Here is an 18,739-nt window from a genome sequence, read left to right on the forward strand (position 1 = left end):
TGAGGAGCCAGAAGGCAAGTGGAGGGATTCTAGTGAGGGAAGGCACAAGGATATACTTAGATGGGGGAGGAAAGAGGCAGAGAGGGAGATGGAAAGACTCCAAAGCCCTTGATTTACCTCATCACTAAAGACCAAGCACAGCTGACAGTCATCTTTGATCACATCTCTGTTCTCTCCAGCCTCTCATCTTTCTGGCAAGGCACAGCATTTGGAGGAGGAGGTAAGGATCTGTCTTTGGTGATCCCTGGAGAAGGCTGGAGATTGCTTCCTGGGCCTGGGCCCAGGTATAGCTGTATGTGGCAAACAAGTGTGCCTGGGAAGGGGAAGTGTGTGCAGCTGAAGGGAACCTGTGGCTGTCACTGTCACACTGGCACCATTCCTGTGGTACTCTGCACAACCATTGTGCACAGAAGCTCCCGAAGCTCCCAAAGCTCCCCTCGTCTCATCTTAGTCCTCTGTGTGGCTATGGGACCCCTCATTAGCTCTGTTGTCCTGATAAATTTACCATGGTCCAGACAGTGATGATGGAGTAGATGATCCAGGGCAGGGCAGTGCAGGGCCTGGGGCTCTGCAGCAGGGCAGTGTGGGCTGAGTCTAGCGAGGTTGGTCAGGTCAGGTCTTGGAGATTTTGTTTTGTTGTTTTCGAGGTTCGTGGCTGCAAAGCAGTTTGTTTTTATTTAAAATTCACTTTATCAAAGTACTGTATTTTCATAATTTTAAAAGGCATGTACAAGCTATATATATATATACACACACATATATATGTGTATACACACACACACACCCCAAGCCTCACTCTTCAGAGTCAAACACTTGAGACACTCTTGACTGTTTCTTCTGATATTTACCTCAATATTTCTAAATGGTATGCTAATATTGCTATTTCTTGTTTTTTTCTGTTTTAAATATTTGTGTATACACACATGTATAGATAGATATTCACACATATACATATATACACCTGTGTGTATATATCTCATTTATATGTATCCTTGTAGCTTATAAAGCTTTTAAATTCTAAATATAAAATATCTGTTAAATGACATATATAGATCTCAATGCTTATCATTAAAACAGTAGCCCTCTACTCCACCCCTGAGCCTCACTCTTCAGAATTAAATACTTCCAACTCTCTTAGCTGTTTTCTTCTGATATTTACCTCCACATTTCTAAATGCCATGTCAATATTCTATTTCCCAATTTTTCTCTTTTAAATATCTGTTGACTTTTAAAATGTGATTAAAGGAAGATTTAGCTCTTTTACTCCCAGCAGCACTTAAGATACACACATGCTTCCCCTCCCCTCATACATTCAATATTGGCAAATCAAAATTCCTGATTTTAACAATATTCCATGTTTATATTACTAGAATTATAAATATTGTTCACAGCTGAGTTATGTAGAATACTGTGATTATATTTCCTTCCTTGGTCATCTTGTTTGCATGGAGTTAATAATTGCCTCTTGTTTTCTGTTTGCTTAGTTTTCTCATTTTTTGCTGATAACATTCCCAATTTCTTTATCAGAACTATAAAATCTCACACAAACACTTTCATAACCCATTATTTTCACTTTTTTCCTTGGAGCTCTCCACCTTGCTCTAGTTGCTAGAGGTTTGGTTTTCAAGTACTTGTCAAGTACCTCTGTGTGTATACCTCCTCCACTTGTATACCCAGCTCCATGTGAGGCCCTGAGGACAGTGGACAGATGAGTAAGATACAATCTGTCCTTGGTGAATCTACAGTCTCATGAGTGTATAATTTATAGAAATGTCTTACCAGAAGGCTGTGTGTTAAGACTTTGATCTAAGCTGTCCCTTTGGTCCCACACTCAGGCAGGCCTCCTCTTCTTCGTTTCCCATGAGTTACCAGAATGTGATACAGTCCTCCAAAGAGCAAATGTGATCTTAGGCTGCATTAACAAAAAGTTTCTAGGACAGGAGGGCTGATGCCTCTACTTCACTTTGTGTTGATAAATCCTATCCGGGGATTGTGTGTAGTTGCAAAGGACATGGAAATACAGGGACTCATCTGAATGTGAACAACCAGGCTAACAGAGGACTGGAAACCACATCTTTTGAAATAGTTGAAAAAAAATTGGGGATGTTTGGCTTCTTGAAAGAGTAGTCTACACATAGCTATCTTCAATTTTATTCCCTCACATTTCCTTTTCAATTTTCTACAGGCTGGTTTCTGCCCCCACTGCTCCACTGAAACTGCTCTCACCATAATGAGACTGCCTCTTAATTCCCCAAACCAGTGTGTTCCCATCTAAATCCTTATCTGCTGGCCACTCCCTATTCTTTGAAATTCTCTCCTCCCTTAATTGGCAGAATGCCTCTCTTCTGTTTCTCCTCCAATCTCTTGAGCCACTCCTCCATCTTCATCTGATTCTTTTCCTCCATCTGCCCCTTAAGTGTTAGTTTTTCTAGGGATCTACTGTTGATCCTAGGCAATGCCATCCACTTTCTAGGCTTCCACAATTGCTGAAGCAGCCAGGGTGAGCTAGGTTATGCTCTGGTAACAAACAACCCCCAAATATCTGAGGTTTAGCACAACAAATGGTTACTTCTTTCTCATGATACGTGTCTGAAACAGGTCATCAGGGAACATCTGCTCATGATAGTCACCAAAGACCCAGGATGGTAGAGGATCCAACATAACACTGCTTCCACAGTCAGCATCAGAGGGAGGAGAATGTGGCAAATCATACATTTGCTCTTAAAGCTTCTGCCCAGAAGTGACTCATGTCACCTCAACTCACACTTCATTGTCCAAAGCAAGTCATATGGCCGTGCCTAACTTCAGAGGGTGTGGGAAAGTGTAGTCCTACTATGTCCCTGATGACTAAGTCCCTAACCCCTGATGGCTTCCAAGCCTTTATGCAGACCCTCCTTCTGAGCTGACTGCTGTGTCCAACTGCCTCCTCAACATTTCCACCTGGCTGACTCACATATACCTCAAAGTCAACATGACCCCAAACTGAATTTATCGTCTTCACCCCCAACTCTATGCCTCCTATTTTCCCTGACTTAATAAATGAAACTATTCATCCAGCTACCCAACCCAGAAGCTTGGTCATCATCCTGGATCTCTCCCTCTCTCTCATTCCCCACATCCTTAAATAATCCTGGTGATTCTACCTCTTTAACATCTCACATCCACCCCTTCCTCCCTATTTCTCAATTCTGCCACTGTTGCCTTAGTCGGGGCCCTCACAACCTCTCACTCAGACTGTTGGAATTGTCTTGTAACTGATCTCTGTGCCTCCGGTCTTGATGCCTATACTCCATCAACCACACTTTCAGACAGAAGTCCGAAAAGTTAGTCATGGGAGTGGCAAGCCATCTTTAAGTAGGCAATTATTTGAAACCTATTAAAGGCTCTCCATTGCCTATAGGATGAAGCCCAGCTCCTTGTCAGCTTCCAGAGCATATCATAACCATGGCCATGGCCTTCCTCTGCAACCTCATCTCCCATTGTATCCCACTTTGCGCCCTCTAACTATGCTGAACTACCTACAGTCTCTAAACTCAGCACTATTTCACACTTCCAGGCCTTTATGCCTGCTCATTTCTTTGCTTGAAGTGCACTTATTCTTTCCATATTCCACCTAGTTACCTTCTACTCATTTTTTTTTCAATCCCTAACTCAACCCTCTCCCACATGGAGATGTTTTCCTGTCCTTCAGCCCTCAAAACACAGTTGATCACTCCTCTCTTAATGCTACTACTGTACCAAGGAGATACAGTGCTTCTTGACTTACAATGGGGTTACACCTTGATAAACCCATTGTAAGTTGAGAGTATCTTAAGTTGAAAATGCATTTAATACACCTAACCTACCAAACATCAGAGCTTAGCCTAGCCTACCTCAAACGTGCTCAGAACACTTACATTAGCCTACAATTAGGCAAAATCATCCAACACAAAGTGTATTTTATAATAAAGTGTTGAATATGTCATGTAATTCATTGAATACTGTACTAAAAGTGAAAAACAGAACGGTTGTATGGGTACTTGAAGTATCATTTCCACTGAATATATATTGCTTTCTCACTTTGGTAAAGTTGAAAAAGTGTAAGTTGAGCCATCATAAGTTGGGGACTGTCTGTGCTACCTATCACAGTGACTTAAAATGATTGATTCATATAGTTGTCTCCCCTGCTCCCTGAAGACAGGAATCTTGTCTTACTCATCTCTATTATCTGTAGTTCCCAGTACAGTGCCAGGCACTCAGAAGATGTTCAAGAAATGTTTGCATGGACAAATAATGAGAAAAACAGACTCAGAGAAGTCTAAAAATACCTGCAGGGTTGGCACAGGGGACAGGAAGGTAGCTGTTCCATATGGCACCAGTAGAGCTAGTAAGAGCTGCGAGTGAAGCCACAAGGAGGAATTAGTTCAAAATAAGGAAGAACTTCTGTAACTGCTAGAGTTATCTGAAGATATGGGCTGCCCTAGGACAGCATGACCCCCTGTGACAAGGCTTACAATCAGAAACTGGATAAGCACTTGGCAGTGATGTTGGAGTGGAAATTCCAACAGCAGATAGGGCAGTGTTGTGATGGTTCTCATGGTCCCTTCTATTCTGGAACAGTCATGACCCTGACTCCTCTGCTCACCTGATTGACAGGGATTATCTAGGCCCCTTCAGAGCTGCTCCTACATTAGGAACACTGTTTCTCCACTGGACCAACCCTGTCCAGGCTGGGCCCATCCAGCCACTGGCCTTTGAGCAGATGGCCCAAGAGGCTTGGTGGTGGGAGAGCTTTCTGGAACTGCACTGGCTCTAGGTTCTCACCCTCCTCTCTGGCCATCTCCCCTGCCTTTCCTTCAGGCCATGCCACTTTGACTCATGACTGCTCAGTTTGAGAAGCAGGACAGCTGTTGCTTATTTTTACAGCCACTTAAGTAGAACCCTATTATCCACCTGGATTTGCCCTTTAATGCATCTAATCCCAGTCTGATTCTACCAATCCCAGTGAACTACTGTCCCCAGAGTTATGTCCATGATCTCCTTCCTCTGGTTGAGGAGACTGATTTTGACCTAACCCTGTTCTGATCCAACTTTTGAAAGCCCAGAGTCGGGACTAGGAGCACTTGGCTCTTTTCAGACCCTGCCCGAGGGGGTTCCTCACACACTTCTCTGTGTGCTGATGGATGCAGTACAAAGAGGCATCAGGTTAGCAGTCAGGTTGCCTCCCTTCTAATCATGGCTTATAGTTGATTTCTTGCATGCCTCTGACTTGGCTAAGCCAACCCTCTTCTTTGGGTCTCAGTTTCCCTATGGGTAAAATCTGGGAGCGGAGTGTACCGTGGTGTCTGTGGACAGTGGATTTCATCCCCATGTGTAGCTCACATTGCTGCTTTGCCTCCACAGGCTCTGCGGCTGCAGCTCCAGCTGCTGGCCAAGGGCCCCAAGGGTACATTAGGAAGACAAGCAGCCCTGGAGAGAAGGCCTATAGGGAGGATTTGGATGGGGAAACAGGCCCCAGGGATGGAAGCAAGTTAGAATCCATGAAGGAAACTGCTTACTTCCTGGTTGGCAAGAACTAAAGCTCTCCTCCCTGGAGGGCTTTTCAGCCCCAGAACCAAGGAGCTCGGTATGGCCTCCGCTTTCTAAACTTTCTGGCCCTGAGTCCTGGCTTTGGGATGTAAAAGTCTTCTTTCTAGAGGAGAGTGGGGATGATGATGCCCTGGCCAGGGCTGCAAGCGCCAGAGCCAGAGGGTAAGGCTCTCTGGGTCCTCCCTAGATTGGCAACTGCAGAGCCCAGGAGGGGTGGTGACACCTCTCATCTTGCCCCTCCCATTTCTGGAGTGCTCTGCAGCCCAGCTGGGAGGAGGGATGGGACAGCCTTCGCAGCTTCCTTTTTGGGTTAATTGGTGTTCCCTCTAGTTATTTCCTGCTCCCTTCCCCTCCCAGTTCCCATAGCAACTGGGCTGTAGCAGCCAGAACTTGATTGAGCCCAGCAGTGGCCCGACTGAGGTGGGGAAAGGAGGGCACTGCCAGGTCAATGCTTCCCACCCCACCCATCCCCCGCTGCCATCTCAAGGGTTCAGGATGGTTAAGCCCAGAGGACAGGGCATAATTGGAAAGCCTTTTATGCCAGGGCTAGAGTTTGAAGAGTCTAACATGCCAGAGCAGGCCTGGTTCTCCTCAGCTCTCCTCCCCTCCCCATGCCCTGTGTCCTGCCTCTTAAATTTTGAATTCACTGTTGCTGGTAGGATTGTTCAGTAGGAAGAACCCTGGAGTTGGAGGTGGGAAACCAGGTTTCCAGTTCCTCCCAAACCGATGGTTCTCAACCGTGGCTGCATACTAAAATTGCCTGAGGTATTTTGAAAAACTACAGATGTGTAGGCTCCACCCACAAGGATTCTGACTTAGTTGGTCTGGATGTGATGTGAGCCAGACAGGAGTATTTTTTTTCTTTTTTTTTTTTTTTTAGACAGGGTCTCACTGTGTTGCCCAGGTTGGAGTGCAATGGTGTGATCTCAGCTCACTGCAACCTCCTCCCCCTGGGCAAAGGTGACCCTCCCACCTCAGCATCCTAAATAAGTGGGATCCAAGGTGTGCACCACCACACCCAGCTATGTTTTTATGTAGAGACAGGGTTTCACCATGTTGTCCAGGCTGGTCTAGGACTCCTGGACTCAAGCAATCCACCAGCTTCAGCCTCCCAAAGTGCTGGGATTACCATCATGAGCCACCGCATCCAGCCCAAGACAGGAGTATTTTTTGGAAGCTCTTTGAGTGATTGTGATATGCAGCCAGAGTTGAGATCCTGGAGAACAAAAGAGCTCCGTAGTTCACCCAGAACTGACTGTTATCTTGTTCTGAGACATTTCTTCCCTTTCCCTGCATCCCTTGCCTCCAGCAAGCCCCACAACTCTCCTAAGCCGGGCCCTCCTGGCTTTCCTCCATCCTTGTAGACAAGTGCCCAGGAACCTGTGAATGCCCAAACAACCTCCCCCGTCAACCCCTGGCTCAGTCCTAACACTAGTGAAACAGGGCAAGCTACCTAGGTCCATCTAAGAAACAGGGCTGCAGAGTCTAAGGCAGGCTTGTTGCCCAAGCTGTAACAAACACTGAGAGCCAGATCTTTCACCTGAGAAGGACCCCAGGCTACCTCTGAGGCATGAGGGATAGCAATGGCCTCCGCTGGCCGGCTGTGGGGCTGAGGAATTGGATTACCTCTGAGCCCCACATCACTCTTCTTCCTCCATTCCCCTCATTAGCTCCTTGCCTGTTCCTGCCTCGCCACCCACAGGCCTGGTGTCCTCCCCAAGCAATCTGCTCACCCACTTGTTGTCATGGTGACTCTGGCTGGGGGTGTGGGGACTGAGTGGGGAGGTCGTCTAATTAAGGAGAAAGGCCACACTCCCAATGTCAGGCCACCCCTCCCCCTTCCCCAACCTACCCTGGCTGGCTCCCTCCATTCCTCCCTCCAGGAGCAGATGACGGGAGCGCCCAGCCACCATAGCCTGTTACTGGGCTAATTGCAGTTGCCTGGGAGGAGGGCAGGAACTCCACTGGGGCCTCCTCACCTAGGAGCTGGAACACTGAACTAGAAGAGCCCAGAGAGAATTCCACAGGGACCTCTGAGTCACACTGATGGATGCAGGGTTGGGAGGGGGCCGATTGCACACATTTTGGGGTGAGGGTGAGGCAGGCTCTGGGTCCAGGCTACAGACATTGAGGCAGAGCCTATGGACAGAGACTCATCTTGGCACTCTGGGGCTCAAAAGATGGAGGGAAGTCTCTAAGGTACTGGGACCCTTAGTTCTTGTAATTTCATGTTCTTTCCTGCCTTACTTCTGTTTCTTTCTCCTCCCCTTCTTGCGCTCTCTTATTCCTCTTTCTTAGCTTTGCTTTCTTACAGCCCCATCTCTCTTAGCCACTCTTATTCCATCTTATTCACCCCCGCTTGTTCTTACCCATCTTTCTTACTCCCTCTTTCTTACCGCTTCCTCTTAACAGCTCCGCTTACCCCTATCTCACCCTCTGTTATGTCCCTACCTTTCAACTTCTTTCACCCTCACCCCACTCTTAACCCTTCACCTCCCTTACACCCTCCACCTCTAATTCCCTGGCTCTTTCTCCCCAACCCCGTTGTTTCCTACCCCCACTATTCCTACCATTCCTTACCCTCTCTTTGCTATACACCTCCTGTCTTCCACCCCTTACCCCAACTGCCACTCTCTCATACCCCTCAAACCCCTCTCTTCCTGCCCTCCTTTAACCCTCCAGCTCTCTTACCCTGCCTCCTATTTTCACCTGTTTTTTCACCCTCCTTTCACTCTTTTCCCGTTCCTTTTCACATACTCTTTTAGCCCAGTAATTTCATATTTAGGAATTTATATAAATAAAATTTAACACAAGTGTGTGAGAGATGTGTGTATAAAGACAGTCACTGGAGCGTTGTTCATAATAGTGAAAATGTGGAAATAAGTGTCCATGAGCAAGAGATCACCAATGCCCTTTTCATTCCATTCATACAAAACCATTCTCTGTTCTCTTAACACACCATGGATTTGTTTGCCGACATACCTTTGCTTAAGCTATTGTCTCAGCCTGGAATGCCCATTTACCTCATCTCTACCCATCCCATCTAACATCCTGATTTGAGTCCAAGCTCAACTGTTCTCCCACCACTGAAATCTTTCCCTGCTTCTCTACTTGCTTCCCTCCAGTGGTCCATGGTTTGAACTCTCCTTTCTATAGATCATATGCCATAGATTCAAATTAGATGTGTCTACCCATGAAACTGGAATTTTCATGAGCGTAGGGACATGTCCTCATTTACTTGTCCTGTTCATTCATTCAACAGATTTTTTAAAGTGTATATTGTGCCGAGTATACAACAGTTAATAAAGCAAACCCATGTCTGCTTACGTGCAACTCACATTTTAGTGGGGCTGACAGGAACAAAACAAGAGTGCAGAGAAAGTAATACTTGTGGTGAAGAAACAAGGAAAAGAGAATAATGAGGGCAGCATCCTTTGGTGAGAGGGGTAAGGGAGATCCTCTCTGAGGAGAGGACATTTAAACTGAGACCTGAAAAGTGAGAATGACCCAGACATGTCAAGAGTAGGGGGAAGAGCATTCTGGGCCAAAAGAATAGCATGTGCCAAGGCCCTGAGGTGGGAACAAGTAGGGCATGTTCAAGGAAAAGAAAGAAAATGAAGTTGGAGAGAAAGACAGGAGCAAAGTTATACGAGGGCTAGAAGTCTGTGGTCAGAAGCTTAATTCTAAATGCATCAAAGGGTTTGGAGCAAAGGAGTAACATGAGTCAATTGCGTTTTGAGACCACTCTTCCTCCTGTGTGGACAGTGGATTGGAAAGAGCAAGGGTGCAGGTGGAGAGGCCAGATGGGAGACTGTCATCCAGGTGAGAGATGATGATGGCTTGCCCAAAGGCATAGATGTGGAGCTACAATTGGCATGCCTTGCTGATGGACTAGATGTGGGGATACAGAGAAACGGAAATGAAGGCTGACATCTAGGTTTCATGGCACTCACTGAAATGGTCAAGACTTGAGGAGGACAGTGGATTGGGGATTAAAAAAATAAGATCTACATTTTAAAATTTATAACATGTTAAATTTGAGATGCCTGTGAGATACCGAAGTCCCAAGCAATGCTTTGCTCTTTGGGGGACTGGTTAGCAACACAACCTACCCCATCACCCACTAGTACCTCCCTGCTTTGGAAAAGGCCAGTGTGGGATTGCATTGCCAAAGTCCATGTTCACAGCAGTTATTTGTAGTTTAGTGAAAATGTTTGAAGTAAGTATAAGAAACTGACAGTGCTTCTGAAACCATGTTGCTCAGAATATGGTAGAAGAGCCTCCTGTGGCACAGTGACCTGGACCTGGCTCAGAAATGCAGATTCTGAGCCCACCTCCGTCCTCTTGAAGCTGAAACAGAGGGAGACATCTGCATATTTTAACAAATGCTTCAGGGGGTTCTGAGGCACTCTGAAGTCTGAGAACCATTGCTGTGAGGAACAACAATGAACCTAGAAAGCACCCCTAAAGATACAGGACTGGATGTGGGTGGCAAGACAGGAACAGGCAAGGTGCATGAGAGCCATCTGGGCATCTGTTAAAATGCAGATGCTGACTTGGCAGGTCGGGGGTGGAGCCTGAGATTCTGCATCTCTCACAAGCTCCTAGGTGATGGTGATGCTGCTGGTCCAGGTCCACACTTTGAAGAGCAAGGACCTAGATCAGTGGATCAGTGGTTGACAACTGGAGACAATACCCCTACCCCAGGGGAACATTTGACAATGGCTGGAGACATTTTTTTTGGTTTTTTTTTGTTGTTGTTTTTTTTTTTGGTTTTCACAAGAGGTGAGGGGAGAGAATGCTACTACTGTGTAATGGGTAGAGGCCAGAGATGTTGTGCAGTATCCTGCAGTGTACAGGACAGCCCCCACAACAAAGAATTATCTGACCCATAATGTCAGTAGTATCACTGTTAAGAAACCCTGGGCTTGATGATAACCAAAGAGTATGGAGCAGGGAATCTTCCTTAGCTAGGACCCAGTGCCTGGTAGGAGTGGACTAGATGAGGGACAGGAAGCATACCCATGAAGTGAAACTGCAAAGCAGAGGTTCCAAATGAAACGTAGCAGTGTGTTTGATGTCTGCTCCATGCCAGAGCGGAAGCCAATAGGGCAGAGCATGGATCAAGTAGAGCTCAAAGGCACATGTGTTGCCTGGTAAGGCAGGTTCCTGGTTTTTTTTTTATTATTAAAAATAACCCCTCACATTTACATTACACTTCAGAGTTTACAAAACATTTTCATATATGCCATATTATTTCATCCATACAACACCCTAATGAGGTAAAGCAAGGATTATTCTTTCTCTTTCTTGAATTTAGAAACTCAATACCATCAGCCAAAGAAATGTTTGCTGAATTGAACAGAACTGACATTTGCCTCATTATATATAGGTAGTCTCAGACAAGTCAGATACTTCCTTGGACCAAGTGTAAAATGACAGGGTTGCATGGAATGATTGGCAAGGCTCCTTCCAGTTCTGACCTTCCAGTAATTTTGTGATCTTTGCCAACACACAAATTTTGAGTCTTGGATGACTGCAGACTGGGGTGCTTGGGAGTACTGGCTATGAAATCGGAGATCTTAGGTAAGATGCAGTGGCCTTGATCCAAGCCCTTCTTCCTCTCTACCCCCTGGATCTTGGGGTTAGGTTGGTGAGGCCCCCTTGAGAGACCACAAGTAAGTCCTCCCATCCCTCTCCTCTGAGGTGGGAAGGGGCTGGCACATGGGCTGATGCTCTTTCCTCTCCCCACAGGCTGTCTACAAGGCCTGGCTGTGCTCAGAATACTTCAGCGTGACCCAGCAGGAATGCCAGCGCTGGGTGCCCTGCAAGCAATACTGCCTGGAGGTGCAGACCCGGTGCCCCTTTATACTCCCCGACAATGAGGAAATGGTGTACGGAGGGCTCCCTGGCTTTATCTGTACAGGTAAAGGCAGGGCACTGGGGAAGAGGGAGGAGGCCGGGGGCCCAGGGCAGGCATCAGGTCAGAGGAGTTGGGAGCAGGGATAACAACAGGGGAGTCAGGTGAGAAGAAGGCCAGTGGCTGGACGAATGGGCAGTGACGTCCCCAGGTTGGGATAGGGCCAAGTGGAATAGGGAAAAAGACCAGAGTGTCCTTCTCTGCCCAAAACATGTCCAGGGAGTCATCCCAAAGAAACTGGCTGGGGTCCCCAGGAAAGAAGGGCTCAGAAAGGGCAAGTGTCGAGGGCTGTGGGGAGGGAGCCTTAGATGAGGCTACTTGAGCAGCCCCAGCTCTGGAAACTTGCTCCCTAGGTAAGGCATAGCTATCAGCTCCCCGAGCACCCCACCACACCTTCCTTATCCATTGGCAGGGTTGCTGGATACTTCACCAAAGCGTCTGGAAACCAAGTGCTGTGACGTGCAGTGGGTCTCCTGTGAGGCGAAGAAGAAGAAGTTCAAGGAGTCTGAGGCCCCCAAAACCCACCAGCAGCAATTCCACCACTCCTATTTCCACCACTACCACCAACAGTACCATCACTACCACCCCCATCATGATCCCCCAGGCCGTGTCAGCAACAAGCCCGCCCTGCTGCCGGTCTCTGGGGGCTCCCGCCTCAGCCCTAGCAGGATCCGGCTCTGCGTCCTTGTTCTCATGCTCCTCCATACCGTGGTGTCCTTCTCCAGCAACCAGGGTGGTGGGGGATTGGGGCTGGAGACACTGCCTGCCCTAGAGGAGGGCCTGACACGGGAAGAGTGACAGTAGGGAGGGAGGACAGACCTCCACCACACTGACATCAGCTCCAGCTCCCCCAGGTTGGGGGGGAGGGGGCTCCTCCCATGGGAGGTGTAGGATAAGGTGGGGGCGGGGGAAATGGGGGAATGACACATCCCCCCCAACCTACCCCCACCCCAAAAGCAGCTCCAACAGAATGGCCAGAGGGCCTCAGGGAGCTGCAAAACTCATCCAGGAGAAAAAGGCAGGAGCAGCAAGTGACCCCTCCCAAGCTCCCATCTATGGGGCTTAGCAAAAAAAGGGAGGAAGTGGGGGCTGGATATGCCCACCCCTGCCAAAAGCCCTGACCCCAGGGAAGGAGGCTGCTCACCCAGCCTTGGCCCTGCAGGGAATGTTGGGGGGCACAGAGGGGAGAAGCTCTTTCCCCCACTCCACATTCCTTTTGTTGCCAAGATCCTTAATTCCCTCCTGCCCATATCCCTACAGGCGACGGCAGACAGTGCAATGGCCCTCCTGCCACTTCAGCACACCTTGCCCCACCTGGGACCATCACACGTGAAGCACCAGGCTGGGAGATGAGGTGCACACAGTTGCAGCTAGGTCGGGGCCCCAGTTAAGCTGTGCCCCACCACCCTAGGCAATGAGGGGCAGGAAAGGGGTACAGAATGAATGGTGAAAGAGAGTGGAGATACGGAAGGGGGAGAGGAGAGGAGAAATGTGGACAGAGGGCTTGAAGACATGGCCGAATAGGCTACTGCCACCCGGCTTTGGGGAGATGGGCGATAAGTGTTGAGGTAGGCTCGAGAACTGCTCCCCAAATCAGTGAGAATTGCATTAGGAGCCCTCTGGGGAAAGAGCACAGGAACTGAGTTGCTGGGCCTCAAAACAAAAGGCTGCAGGCACATGGTTAGACTGCCGCTGTCTGAAGGACCATATCTTACAGAAGGTGCACATACTCCCAAGGGCCACTCTTGCCCTGGAGATCTTGGCCTTGGGGCCAAAGACATTTCCATTTCCGATCTCCATGGGGAGGAGGGACTTAAGCCCAAGTGGGTCAGGCCTGGCCCAGGTCCTTATACTCCCCTATCTTGTCCTAGCCCAGGCCTCCATGAAGGAGAACCTGGTGGCATTGCCCCAGAGCTCTCCAGAGATGAGCCTCCCCTATCCCCACCCTGTCCCCGTCCCCAGCCTACCAAAGAGTATTCACACCTTTCCATCCCTGACTCTATGGGTTACTGTCCCAATTGCGAAACACCCATACTCCTCTTCACCCTGTAGCAGGGTCTTCTGCTCCAGTCACCCCGGCCTCTTGCAAGAGAAAGTCCAGGGACTGGCAAGAAGACCCTTTGACTAAAGATAATGTGCTGTCATATCTTGGCTGAGAAACTGTTGAGTCAGGCTAGAGGACTGGACAAGAGAAGAGGCATTGAGAGCCCCCTTGGGAGCCATTAGCCTTGCTCTGGTCTGCTGTGTGGGGTTGGGGAGTAGGGGGGATCCCACATTGCCTGGGACATCTGAATGCTGATACGAATGGACAGGAAAGGGAGCCAGAGCTGTATACCTGGGACAGGCCAGGGAGCCTTTAGTGCCAGCAGGGCCTGTGTCCTGGGATGTGATGCTAGTGAGTGAATGGGAGGGCGGGCCTGGAGCTGCGTGAGAGTGAAACCAAGAAGCGGATGGGGAAGGGAGAGCTGGCCTTGGTCAGCTTAGGGATGAATGGAGAAGGAATCATTCATGGGCCTCGGCTAGGTCCCAGACTGATTACATGAGACTGGGGAGTCCTTCCCTGCCAGTTTTCTCATTTATTACAGCCTATCCCCCAACCCTACCCCTGTGCCCTGCCTACACACTCCCGTTTGGCCCTCAGCACTTTGGGCCTGGTCACATACCCCATCCCTAGAGTGCTCTTTTCAGCTGGGGAGGGGAAGAGGTGCTGGCTCCTTTCCAGACATGCTTATGTATAAGTAAAGGGGCAGGTGCTTGGGCTCCAGAGAGACCCTAGGTACTGCCTTCTAACTCCTGCATCCTCAGAAGGGGAAAAGGGACTGGGAAGTAAAGGGAAACCATATGGCCCCAGGGAATGGACCCTTGGAGACTCCCATCCTCTCTTCCCCCTCACCAAGTGCCCAGGAGACCCCTGGCTCAGACCAGCCCAAGGCCTTGCCCAGTGGCAGGGGAAAGGGGCACCTCACTCCACCTCAAAGTCATTTGACTGCCCCCATCCACCCCACCACCCTAATCTTCCACCACCTCTCCGGCTGCCCCTGCCCTCCATCACAGACAGCAGAGCCGGGCAGCTTTCTTATGCCATTTTCTACACTGTGCTTCATGAGTAGGACTTTCTTGCACTAGTTCCTATGACTGAGTCTCCAAACTGGTTTCCTAGTAGTCCCCCATCCCTTCCTCCCTTACCCAGCTATGATTCAGTTGTCTCTGCCCTCCCTCTTACCCTGCCTCTGTGTTTCGGTGAGAGTCTCTGTATATGTACTGCTTTCTGTTTTGTTGCATTGTGGGGCAGAGGCCTCTCTGCTCTTGTTTAACCCCATAAAGAAATAAATGGTAAGACTTGATGATAACCCTCCCTTCATGGCTTTGTTCTGTGGAGTTGAGCTTGCTGCATTAGGAAAGTCTGTGGCTTGGGGAGGGGGTGGGACCAGAGATGTTGACCCTGTGCCCAGCTCTCTGTCAGCTCAAATCTCAGGAAGAAAGGGTAGACTGTAGTAGACCATTCAAGACAAGGACTCACAAAGCCAGCCACCTGCAGGGATCAGGCAGATCACTGTACAGAGTGAAGTAGGCCAGGTTGGGGAAAAGTGCAGACTCCAATTTGAGTGCTGAGAACTGCAGGACATGTGCAAAGGAGGCAGCTGAAGCCCAGGGTTGTCTTGGGGAATGTAGGTCCAGTGTTGCCAATCTTCTCATTCTTCAAGGGAAGTTAGGACTGGGGATTCTAACATGAAGCCCCCTAATTCATAAATGTTGGCTCAAGTATAAAAACTAACAAACCTACCTCCATGAGGGCTAAACAAGTCTGTAGGCTCTACATGGCCTGGGGATTGCCAGTTCTTGCTTTTGTTGCAGCCTTCAGTTCTAGTCTGCCAGCCTCATCTCTCCTACACCTCTTAACCAGACCCATCGTCCCACCACAGAAGGAAGGTCACTTGGCGACAACTGCTGGAGGGGTGGAAGACAGGGCTCTCCATCACTAACACTGCTTTCACATAAATGGGGAAAGGAGAGCATGGTCAGGAGAGAGGCTGGTGTCCTGACTGAGCTGCCAAATTACTTTTCCAAGAAAACATGAGCCCACTCCACTTCCCCAAAAGCAGCATAACATGGAGGTCACAGCATGGTCGCCGGAGCCAGACCATATGAGTTCCAAGTCTAGCCAGCGCCATTGTTACGGCATCTTTGGGGTGTCACTTTTCTGGCCGGAAACCTCTGTGGTCAGTGACACTTTTGCCCAAGTTCTTGTCCTGCATCCAGGAAGAATGAAGTATGCAGACAAGTGGAGGGTGAGCAAGACAAAGAGGGGCTTTATTGAGTGTTAGAACAGCTCAGAGGGGACCCACAGTGGGTAGCTCCTCTGCAGGCAGGTCATCCTGTCATCTCTGCAGCTCTCAGCAGAGAGGAGGCCCTGGAGAGGGTAGCTCCTCTCTGCAGCTGGTAGTCCTGACATCTCTGCAGGTCTCTGAAGCTCTCAGCAGAGAGGGTAGCTCCTCACTGCAGCTGGTCATCCTGTCATCTGCTCAACTCTGGCTGAACCCAGGGCTTTTATGGGCCTCAGAGGGGAGGAAGTGTGCACCGATTGGCCCATGGGCAGCCATGGGCAGGCCCAGAAAAGGCACCACAAGTTCCCACTCCAGTCTGTGGGACTGGCAGCCTGGCCCCCAGCCTTCAGACCCTTGCTGGCCTGAAGGTGGGGCCTCACCGGGGACCCGCCCCCTTTCACCAAGGAACCTATCTGCCTTCTGCTGCTGTTCATGGTGCCCAGGCTTGGCCCAACTTTGCTCCAAGATCAGAAGAGGCGCCAGCAGCAGGGAGAAGGCAGGCAGCGGGAGCAGGCACTTTTGAGCCTGCGAGCGCAGGGGGGCCTTCCTGGGCCCCTACAAGTGCTGGGATGCCTGAGTCTGCAGCCATGGTTTGGGCGGCTGCACTGTGCCTGGCGGAGCAGGGCTCCTGCCTGCTCCATGGAGCAGGAGACCCAGGTCTGCAACCGTGGTTTGGGCAGCTGCAGCTGTGCCCAGGAGGGCAGGGCTCCTGCCTGCTGTCAGCCCCTCAAGAGCACGGGGATGCTCAGATCTGCAGGCACGACTTGGGCAGCTGCAGCTCCACCTGGGAGGGTGGGTCTCCTGCCTGCTTTGTAAAGTAGGACGCCCAGGCCTGGGGGATAGGGCTCCTACCTGCTCTGTGGAGCAGGAGGCCTGGACCACACCTTCCTGCTGCAGCCGACATCTTGGCAGTGGCCACTGTAGATGGGCCACTGCTGCCATCACCATCTCCTACTTGTATGAGTTTGAGCAAGAGTTCCTTTACTTCCTTGAACCATGGTGTCCTCATCTATCACAAGGGTTATTGTGAGAATTAGACCGTGTAGTACATGAAGCACTTGGCAAAACAGCTGGCACAAAGGAGCCACTCACATGCTGATTGTTATCATTACTCACTCAGTCTTTCTTCTCTTTCCTTCACCCCCACCTAAAACAGTCACCAAGTTCCATCATTCTTTTGTAAGACGTTCAAATCCTTCCCCTACTTTCCACCCTGACTCCCACTAAGCTGTTTCAGGCCTTCAGTAGCTTTTGCCTGGACTACTGCAATAGCCTATCAACCAATCTCTTGTCCAGTCACTCCAGCTCTGATCCATCCTCTACCTAGCACAGTCCCACATGCTTCAGAGGCACTTGACAGAGATTTTGTGAAACAATTGCTGCCATAGTTGAGTTACCTAGAGGACACAGCTAATCTTCCTTAAGCAAACATTACACCCCTGGAGAACATCAAAAACATCAGATGGCTCCACATTGTCTGTAGAATCAAGTGTAAACTTCTGAGCATCCCATTCAAGGCTCTTTGTTTTTTGATCATATCCTACCAGTCTGATCTTCCCCCGTAGGTGCTCATATACTCACATCCACGCCCCACTGCCCTACTGGGTAGTCTCTGAATGAGCTCTGCACTGTCTCATCTCCTACCCTTGGCTCGCATTGTCTCTTCTGCCTGGAATGCCCTCTTTCCATCTCTGCCTATCACTGACTTTCCTAGTTTTCAAAGTCCAGCTCAAATGCCACCTCTGCTATGAAGACTTCCACATTCTCCCCTCTCTCAAGCTGGAAAAAAATCTCTTCCTCCTCTGTACTTCAATAACACTTTGTCCCTTAATCGTGGTACTGATTATATCCTGCCTGTGTTCAACTTATTCATTCAAAATATACCTACTGAGCAAGTACTATATATCAAACCCTGCGCTGGGTGCTGGCAAACAGCAGGAAACAGACACATTATAAATCCACACGATAACATGACTTTATGCATTGGACAACCCATAATATCACCCACTACAGCACATTAGAGTTTTTGTCTCACTGCATGCCCAAGAGGAGGGAGCCAGGTTCTCTTGGCCTTGGGCATAGGAAAGAGAGATGAGGGATTGCAGGTCCCACACTAACCTGCTACATACAAAAGCAGAGGAGGCAATACACCCACAGTGCTATGGGAGTAAAAGGCACAATAGCTGTGCCAAGGAAGTAGCTCTACAAGCCATATGTCACCATTTCACTCCTGGACTAAGCTACCATCACCCTGCAGCTGCCTCTCTGAGCTCTCCCTCCCTCAGCCAGGCCCAGGCCCAGGCCCTGGCACTCTCTCTTCAGGTCAATCCAACTGCAGACAGCCTGTCTCTTGCAGCCTCAGCATGGGCAAGGAAGAAGCATGGCAGTGGCTCACAGCCCTGGCAGCATATCAGAATCACCTGGAGAGTTTTAGTTCTGGCCTTACCAGCAGAGAGTCTGATTTAATTAGTCCGGGGTGGGAGTCCCAGCTTCAGCATTGTTTAGAAAACTCCACAAGTGATTCTAGTGTGCAGCCAGGCTTTACAACCACCGGGTGAAGAGAAGGCTTTGGCTACATGAAGTCCTTGTTATTTGAGGATAAGTGGTGCTAGAAAAAGGCCACTTACAATGAATCCACTTGAAATGGGGACCAACATTTCACAGTAGAGCAGAAGAAAAGGGGAAAAGGATTTGGTTAGGACTTCATCTTGAGAAATAAAATTGGAAACATGGAAAATATTTTAGTTTCCATTTAAAATGTACAAAATGTATAAATGTATACATAATTACAAATATGCACTAATTCTTATAATGAACAAAGAATGAGTCAAGCACTGGGGGATAATGTAATTTTCCTGACCAAAGTACATGAGAGGATAATATTGACTTTTGCAGCACAGTCATAAGCAGAGATTTTGTTTTGTTT

The 18,739-nt window shown here is 49.0% G+C and overlaps 1 protein-coding gene across 1 annotated transcript in view; it reads left to right on the top strand.

Moving 5' to 3' along the window:
• The window catches only part of NALF2 (NALCN channel auxiliary factor 2), a 28,183-nt gene extending 13,345 nt beyond the window's left edge, over positions 1-14,838 (top strand). Inside the window, exons 2-3 of the mRNA NM_015686.3 lie at positions 11,323-11,494; positions 11,901-14,838. Of these exons, the coding sequence (NP_056501.2) occupies positions 11,323-11,494; positions 11,901-12,286 (558 nt within the window). The 3' untranslated portion in view covers positions 12,287-14,838. The remainder of the gene's footprint in view (positions 1-11,322; positions 11,495-11,900) is intronic.

The sequence above is a fragment of the Homo sapiens genome, chromosome X, assembly GCF_000001405.40.
Source record: "Homo sapiens chromosome X, GRCh38.p14 Primary Assembly".
In the NCBI taxonomy this organism is placed as follows: domain Eukaryota; kingdom Metazoa; phylum Chordata; class Mammalia; order Primates; family Hominidae; genus Homo; species Homo sapiens.